At 48.9% G+C, this 7,446-nt stretch overlaps 1 protein-coding gene across 9 annotated transcripts in view, besides 8 other annotated features; it reads left to right on the forward strand.

The window, feature by feature from the left end:
* Window positions 2,584-3,269: an enhancer, noted in NCBI's record as "H3K27ac-H3K4me1 hESC enhancer chr22:39100707-39101392 (GRCh37/hg19 assembly coordinates)". NCBI's record gives its function as "activates a minimal SCP1, AML or CMV promoter by ChIP-STARR-seq in primed H9 embryonic stem cells {active_cell/tissue: H9 hESC(primed)}" and the evidence as "EXISTENCE:reporter gene assay evidence [ECO:0000049][PMID:30033119]".
* Window positions 3,270-3,955: an enhancer, noted in NCBI's record as "OCT4-NANOG-H3K27ac hESC enhancer chr22:39101393-39102078 (GRCh37/hg19 assembly coordinates)". NCBI's record gives its function as "activates a minimal SCP1, AML or CMV promoter by ChIP-STARR-seq in naive and primed H9 embryonic stem cells {active_cell/tissue: H9 hESC(naive and primed)}" and the evidence as "EXISTENCE:reporter gene assay evidence [ECO:0000049][PMID:30033119]".
* Window positions 3,270-4,641: a biological region, named in NCBI's record as "hESC enhancers GRCh37_chr22:39101393-39102078 and GRCh37_chr22:39102079-39102764".
* Window positions 3,275-3,424: a silencer, noted in NCBI's record as "silent region_13727". NCBI's record gives its function as "represses an Ori minimal core promoter by ATAC-STARR-seq in GM12878 lymphoblastoid cells {active_cell/tissue: GM12878}" and the evidence as "EXISTENCE:reporter gene assay evidence [ECO:0000049][PMID:35858748]".
* Window positions 3,505-3,654: an enhancer, noted in NCBI's record as "active region_19016". NCBI's record gives its function as "activates an Ori minimal core promoter by ATAC-STARR-seq in GM12878 lymphoblastoid cells {active_cell/tissue: GM12878}" and the evidence as "EXISTENCE:reporter gene assay evidence [ECO:0000049][PMID:35858748]".
* Window positions 3,745-4,154: a silencer, noted in NCBI's record as "silent region_13728". NCBI's record gives its function as "represses an Ori minimal core promoter by ATAC-STARR-seq in GM12878 lymphoblastoid cells {active_cell/tissue: GM12878}" and the evidence as "EXISTENCE:reporter gene assay evidence [ECO:0000049][PMID:35858748]".
* Window positions 3,826-7,446, forward strand: part of GTPBP1 (GTP binding protein 1) — a 37,172-nt gene continuing 33,551 nt past the window's right edge. For 8 of the 9 annotated variants that reach the window (XR_937967.3, XM_011530537.3, XM_047441614.1 and 5 more), the window contains exons 1-2: window positions 3,826-4,029; window positions 6,727-6,838. Coding sequence is in view for 8 of the 9 variants with exons in the window: in XM_011530537.3 (XP_011528839.1) it covers window positions 3,838-4,029; window positions 6,727-6,838 (304 nt within the window). In the remaining variant the exon portion in view is untranslated. Of the gene's footprint in view, window positions 4,030-6,726; window positions 6,839-7,446 lie in introns of those variants that run through there. The other variant, XM_017029101.3, reaches the window with a different exon arrangement.
* Window positions 3,956-4,641: an enhancer, noted in NCBI's record as "H3K27ac hESC enhancer chr22:39102079-39102764 (GRCh37/hg19 assembly coordinates)". NCBI's record gives its function as "activates a minimal SCP1, AML or CMV promoter by ChIP-STARR-seq in primed H9 embryonic stem cells {active_cell/tissue: H9 hESC(primed)}" and the evidence as "EXISTENCE:reporter gene assay evidence [ECO:0000049][PMID:30033119]".
* Window positions 4,335-4,474: a silencer, noted in NCBI's record as "silent region_13729". NCBI's record gives its function as "represses an Ori minimal core promoter by ATAC-STARR-seq in GM12878 lymphoblastoid cells {active_cell/tissue: GM12878}" and the evidence as "EXISTENCE:reporter gene assay evidence [ECO:0000049][PMID:35858748]".

Consider the following 7,446-nt stretch of genomic DNA (forward strand, 5'->3'; position numbering starts at 1 on the left):
GATCCACCCGCCTTGGCCTCCCAAGGTGTTGGGATTACAGAAGTGAGCCACCGTGCCCGGCCTTTTTTTTTTTTTTTTTTTTTAAGATGGAGTTTAACTTTTGTCGCCCAGGCTGAATTGCAACGGGGCGATCTCGGCTTACTGCAACCTTCACCTCCTGGACTCAAGCGATTCTCATGTCTCAGCCTCCCGCGTAGCTGGGATTACAGGCTCCTGCCACTACGCACGGCTAATTTTTGTATTTTTAGTAGAGACGGGGTTTCACCATGTTGGCCAGGCTGGTCTCGAACTCCTGAGATCCACCCGCCTCGGCCTCCCAAAGTGCTGGGATTACAAGCGTGAGCCACCGCGCCCGGCCTGAAGTTTTATTATTTTTGAGACAGGGTCTTGCTCTCTTTCCCAGGCTGGAGTGCAGTGGCGCGTTCACGGCTAACCCACAGCCTCTGGGCTCAAGCGATCTTCCTGCCTCAGCCTCCTGAGTAGCTGGGACTACAGGCATGCATCACCACACCTGGCTAATTTTTATTTTTATTTTTGTAGAGGTGGGGTTTCATCACGTTGCCCAAACTGGTCTCGAACTCTTTCCTGGGCTCAGGTGATCTGCCCATCTTGGCCTCCCAAAGTGTTAGGATTACAGGTGTAAGCCACTGCACCTGGCAAACGTGACTATTTTAACACCATTACCCTCAACGTTATGATTTAACACGCTGGAGTGCCTGCCTCAGGGTGAGGAGCCCTCTGGCTCTGTCCAGCCAACTTTTGAATTAAATTTTTGTGGCCGGGCGTGGTGGCTCACGCCTGTAATCCCAGCACTTTCGGAGGCCGAGGCGGGCGGATCATGAGGTCAGGAGATTGAGACCATCCTGGCTAATACGGTGAAACCCCATCTCTACTAAAAAATACAAAAAAAAAAAAAAAAAAAAAAATAGCCAGGCGTGGTCGCGGTCGCCTGTAGTCCCAGCTACTCGGGAGGCTGAGGCAGGAGAATGGCGTGAACCTGGGAGGCGGAGCTTGCAGTGAGCCGAGATCGTGCTACTGCACTCCAGCCTGGGCAACAGAGACTCCATCTCAAAAAAAAAAAAAAAAAAAAAAAGTAATTTGTAAGCTACCCACGGCTATGGTTATATTTACATATGAATAGTTTGAGGGATTGCTCTGCAGCAAGCAGTGTTCTAAGTGCTTTACATATATTAGTTCATTTACAGCTGATTTTATCCTATTAGATACTTTATTTCTTTAAAGGAGAAAACAAGCTCTAAGAAGTTAACTTGCTTAAAAGGTCACATACATATGATATGTGAACCCAGTACATAGTGAATACAGAATTTGAACCTAGGCTCCAACTTTTCTTCGGAAAGACGTGTAGATGGGTAGGGTAAGGAATTCCTTCTATAAAATGTCATGATAGAGTTCCCTGTTCAATTCAAAAGTACCTGCTCTGAGAGTTCTTTTCTGGGTAAAGGCTATAGTGCAAAGGGTATTTTTTTAGTTCGCTATTAGCTGTCAGCACATTCTGGACTTGAACTCTTTTTTTTTTTTTTTTTTTTTTTTGAGATGGGGTTTCGCTCTTGTTGCCCCGGCTGGAGTGCAATGACTCGATCTTGGCTCACTGTAACCTCTGCCTCCCGAGTTCGAGCGATTCTTGTGCCTCAGCCTCCTGAGTAGTTGGGATTACAGGCATGCACCACCACACCCAGCTAGTTTTGTATTTGTAGTAGAGACGGGGTTTCTCCATGTTGGTCAGGCTGGTCTCGAACTCCCGACCTCAGGTGATCTGCCCACCTTAGCCTCCCAAAATGCTGGGATTACAGGCGTGAGCCACCGCATCCGGCCGACTTGAACTCTTTGGAAGAGCCAGTTGGTGAGATGCTATCAATCTGGGCCATAAAGGAAAAGCCAAAATCTGTTTTTTAAAATGTTCTACTCTCAATACAACACAACACCTCTGGTCACCAAAATGTGTGGATTTATCCCCACCAGCAACCCATCAGTGCTGCAGGGGACGCCAGCTGGATGTCCTCTAGTTCAATTCAATTCGTCTCACACTGTCTACCTGGAGATACTGTCAGATCCCACTGATTAAGGGCTCAGTCCCACAAAACTGTGCCCCTCCTTTAGAAGCCAGTTATGAGTTCAGGCCTCCAGTACTTCGTTGTTTTTTTTTTTTGTTTTTTTGTTTTTTTGTTTTTTTGTGAGTGGGAGTCTCGCTCTGTTGCCCAAGCTTGAGTGCAGTGGTGTGATCTTGGCTCACTGCAACCTCCGCCCCCCCCCCCCCCCCCCGGGTTCAAGGGCTTCTCCTGCCTCAGCCTCCAGAGTAGCTGGGATTACAGGCACATGCCACCACGCCCAGCTAATTTTTGGTAGAGACAGCGTTTCACCATGTTGGCCAGGCTGGTCTCAAACTACTAACCTCAGGTGATCTACCCGTCTCAGCCTCCCAAAGTGCTGGGATTACAAGTGTGAGCCATTGCTCCCGGCCCATATAGGATGGAGGTGAGCAATTTGGCAAGGAAGAAATTAAAAAGCACATAAGAACAGTATCAAGACCATTGGAATCAGATGACTTCCTGTCCAAGATTCCCAGCTGTGTTTGTGCAAATAAGACTTGATAGTAGTGGAAAACAGGGACAAGAAGAGACTGTCTCTTTCTTCTCAGGTAGATCCCCAAAACTGAAAGCCATTTTCAATCCTGCCACTTGCTCACTAAAGATTTAGGGTTTAGGTCCAAACCCTAAGTCTTGGATTCCTTATCTTCTCAAACATGCTCTTGTTTGCTTGATGCCTGGTTCGAGTGGCCAAGGCCGACATTCATAGACGTTGGTTAATCCCTAATTTCGCCAAACAATGACGGCCTAGGCTTTTCCGGCTTTTGAAACAGGAATTCAAGACACTAAAACGTGTGTTGATGGCATTTTGGGTTGGGGCTTTTCACAACTGATGACACTGGAAAAATAATCCATAGGAAACTACCTTATGAGACCCTAGATTTCGGTTTAGCAGTTCACCACAAAAGTGGTGAGGTGTTTTTTGGCTTTTAATTTTAGCTGCTTGCCTCTGTTTTTAGTTCGTGTGATTGCCTCCGCAAAGGCAGTGAATGGAGAATTCTCCCTAAGGTCAGCATTTAATTATTGCCTCACTCTGGCTGCTATAGTATTACAACTCTTGGAACTTACAGCATCGATCCTACTATTAAAGTTGCCTGGAGCATGCCAGCACGTTGGACATCGGCGTTCCAGCAACTGCCTCAGTCACTGAATCGAGTGGGAGGCTCATTTTGCAGTTTACTATCTCCATGAGCAGGTCCAGGCGCGGGACCTGTTCTATGACTCGATTGGGTCCTGCCCTTGTCCGTCATCGGAAGGCTTACAGCGCCTACTGTTTTGCAGTAAGATTTGCAGGCTTAGTACCGCCTCTGGAAACAAGGAGAGTGAAGGGGCGTTGACGAGTAACGTTGTTTGTATTTCTCTCCTCATTGGATGGCTGCTGTGTCAGTCAGACACTTCTCTGCTTCCGTTGGCGGGAAGGCTTCAGGCGGGTAGCGGGGACTCGGTACTGCCCCCTCCCAAGCTGGGAGCAGGGCGCGTGACGTCTCAGACATTTGTTGTTGGGATTTGGGCCTCATTAATTATTCATTAGGTACTTGAAAGCTCTGCAGGGATTGGTGGCTGAGAGGCCTAGTCGACTGTTTCTTAGCTAGAGGTACGTGTCACCCAGTACGCGGCTGGAGTTTTGCATAAATTATTCCGATAAGGAGCGGGGCGGGGCTCTGTGCATAGATTAGTCAAATGAGCCTGGGAGGGAGGGAAGCCGGCTACGAATTAGCCTAAGTTATTAAAGATGGCGACGGAGCGCAGTCGCTCCGCGATGGACTCGCCGGTCCCGGCCTCTATGTTCGCCCCCGAGCCCAGCTCCCCGGGGGCGGCCAGGGCCGCGGCGGCCGCCGCCCGACTCCACGGCGGCTTTGACTCGGACTGCAGCGAGGACGGCGAGGCGCTCAACGGCGAGCCAGAGCTGGACCTCACCAGCAAGGTAGGCCCGGGCGGCGGCGGCGGGCGCTGAGGGGAGCGGGCGGCTGGCCGAGCAGTCTCCCGGGCGACGGCGGGGCCAGCGGCCGCCCTGTCCGCGGGGAGCGCGGAACGGGAAGAAGGGGCCGAGCCCGCCCACCTGCTAGTCTCCGGGACGTGCGGGGGTTCGCGGCGCGAGGGGCCGTCCCCATGGTCCCCGCACCCACCTTGGCTCCCCCGCGTCGCCAACCCAGCCTCCCGCCCTCCCGTCTCCCGCCGAGATCGTAACCCCTCGGCTCTGCCACGTGGAACGGGGGCGCCCGATGCCAGCTGCGCTCCGCGCGTTCCCTGTCCCCGCTCAGTGCCCCTCCCCGTTCTTCGGGTCCCCACTTGAGGGGATTCGGAGACCGAGAGTCTCCTCTCCCTGGACCGCGCGGGACAGCAGAGGGGCGAGGGGGCCCGGGCAGGGGGCCGAGACGCTCATGAAGACAGGTAGTCGGAGGCCAGGGCAGGGTGGCCGCCGCGTCTCTTCCCAGACTCGGGAAAGGAAACAGAAAGTAGTCGCTCAGCTGGGGAGGAGCATGTCCGAGAATGTCTACTTTTCGAGGCCACCCGAAACAAAATGGAAAGATGGTCAGGCTCCTTAGTCTCGCTATCCTGTGAGTGGAAGCTCATCTTGTATGAGTGGAGCAGTGAAGGACGTTTAAAACCGTGTTTTTTGAGCTGTCGAGAAGGTAGGCAGGAATTAAGGCCTCGCCAACGGCTTGACATTGTGAAGAATAGAAAAGTAAATACAAGATGTGACTGGTGTTTTGAAGGTGCTTAACGTTCCTTAGGGAAAGAATGCCAACTTGGGAGTCAGACAGGGCTGGGTTCCCTTTCCTGCCCTACCATCGAAAGGCTCTGTGACGTTGGGAAAGTTTCTTAACCTTTCAGTTCTCCAACCACCTCATCTTAAGAAAGTACAGATGGGTTGTAAAAATTAGAAATATTTAAGAAGACACCTAATAGTGCCTGATGCATACTAGAGACTCAGTAAATGTTTGAAGTGAACGAGATAGTTCCTAATTTCCTGTGCAGATTAAATAGCAGTGGGTGAAAGATAGAACACCAATACCACCACTTACATTTGTAGGATAGTTACGATAGACATTTTATCCAGCTTTGAAAATGTTTGTGACTTTTTATAGTTTATGGCGGCAAATTTGCATGAAACTTGGTCCTAAACTGGGGAGGAACTTTCCCTGCAACCTAAGCAAGTTATTTTCAACTGCTCTTTGCCATTGTAGTCTCAGGTGAGCACTTGGAAGCCAGCTAGCCTGTCAAAGTTGGTCCTGTCTTGTGCCTGTAAGGCCATAATGAGGATGGCCAAACTTAGAGAGAGGGATGGCCAGGACGATGTAAAAGACCCAGGAAACATCCAGGTTACAATTACAAGCTCTGATGAGTCAACTCAGGAAGTTACAAGATTATGGACCTGACTCAAGAGCAAACAAACTGGATGTCAACACATGGTCAAGGTGCTGAAGAAACATGATAGGAAATTGCAGGGCAGAGTTGCAAAGACGGTAGTACCTTCATTTCTTGACCAGCTCATTTAATATTCCTAGAAGTGTTATTTCATCACATAGCTGGGGAAGTCCTCCTTACAATTAAAAAAAATCATATGTATATTAATATCGATGATATCAAAAAGAAAAAGTGATGGTGTGGAGGGAGAGAAGGGTTGGGTTGAATAGATTGATTCCGGAGGAACAGATTAGAAGCGAAAGGTTCATGTCCTTACGATAGAAAATGTGGAGACCTAAGGCTCCGAGAGCTTCCAAAGGGAGAAACACTTAGTGAATAGTGGTGGCTAGTTTCATCCAACAAGGTTTTTCTGGGAATGATTGGGTGAAGAAAACCTTGTAGTTTCACATTTATTGAGCTGTGGACTAGATGCTTTACATGTTATTATATTTGCTCTTTACAGTGGCCTTAGGATGCAGGTAGTATTAGCTCCGTTTTATAGATTGAAAAACTGAAACTCAGAGTGGTTAAATTCTTTGTCCAAGGTCACACAGGAGTGGTTAGAGAATGGGGTCTGATTGCCAAATGGCTTACCCAAGTAAATGGTTGACACTTCAATGTTATTGGCAGACATTTGCAAAATGACGGTGCTAATACTCCTCGTAGTGGTAATGGTGATGGTGCTTTGTTGATGAAGATGAGTCTTGCAGGCAGTTTTCATTCCCAAATATTCAATATAGCTAAGACAAGATAGAACAGAATTCTTTTGTTATCCTGGAAGCCACTGGCCTGTGGGTGGAGGGCATGGAGGTATATGAGGTATATGTCTTGTGGGCTTCCAGATGCCAACTGCAGGTAGAAGACTTTGGCATGTAGATGGAAAGCACTGCGCTTTCTATCCACAGTGCCATATTCTCAGTCACTTGGGTCCTGCCCTTCCTGTTAAGCAGCAGGAGGCAGGCTGCTTGTGCCCTCTTTACCATGGGTTATGGCTCAGACATACACATTGTAGTATATTATTTGGCTCATATAAGGCCTGAGGCTCAAAGGCTACTTCAGGAGAAGCAGAGAGGGCATGAAGGGGCTGTGCAGCCTTTTTAGATGAGGGTGCTATGGGGTTCAGTCAGGATCTTTGGTTAGGCTATATTGATCAGCTTTGGCTGTGGTGCTCTTCTAGCAAGTGTGGTCCTAAGGCTGTTGGTTTCTTTTCTAGCTGGTTCTAGTGAGCCCTACATCAGAGCAGTATGACAGCCTACTTCGGCAGATGTGGGAGAGGATGGACGAGGGATGCGGAGAGACCATATATGTCATTGGGCAGGGATCAGGTGAGCATAGTTTTCCTTTCACTTTATTTTTAAAAATTATTGGGCCGGGTGCGGTGGCCCTGCCGCCTGTAATCCCAGCACTTTGGGAGGCCAAGACGGGTGGATCACCTGAGGTCAGGAGTTCGAGACCAGCCTGGCCAACATGGTGAAACCCCATCTCTACTAAAAATACAAAAAATTAGCCGGGCGCTAATTAGTGGTGGCAGGCGCCTGTAATCCCAGCTACTTGGGAGGCTGAGGCAGAAGAATTGCTTGAACCTGGGAGGCGGAGGTTGCAGTGAGCCAAGATCGTGCCATTGTGCTCCAGCCTAGGCGACAAGAGTGAAACTCTGTCTCAAAAAAAAAAAGAAATTATTTAGAGCACATTTTCCCCGCTTTTTGAACTTTTCTGCTTATGTGTCTCAGTTACAGTGATTCTTTAGTGTCTGCAGAACTGTTTGGAGTACATAAAAGTACAAAGTGAATGTTAATTCTGACCTTAGTGGCCATAATATGCTTGACTTTCCAAGCAGTTTTACAGATGCTTCCTTTTTACCTCCAGTACTCTCTATTTGCATAAGAGGAAATGAAGCACAAAGCAAAGGAACTTCTTGTCTAAGGTAATAGGG

Source organism: Homo sapiens, chromosome 22 (genome assembly GCF_000001405.40).
Source record: "Homo sapiens chromosome 22, GRCh38.p14 Primary Assembly".
Taxonomy (NCBI): domain Eukaryota; kingdom Metazoa; phylum Chordata; class Mammalia; order Primates; family Hominidae; genus Homo; species Homo sapiens.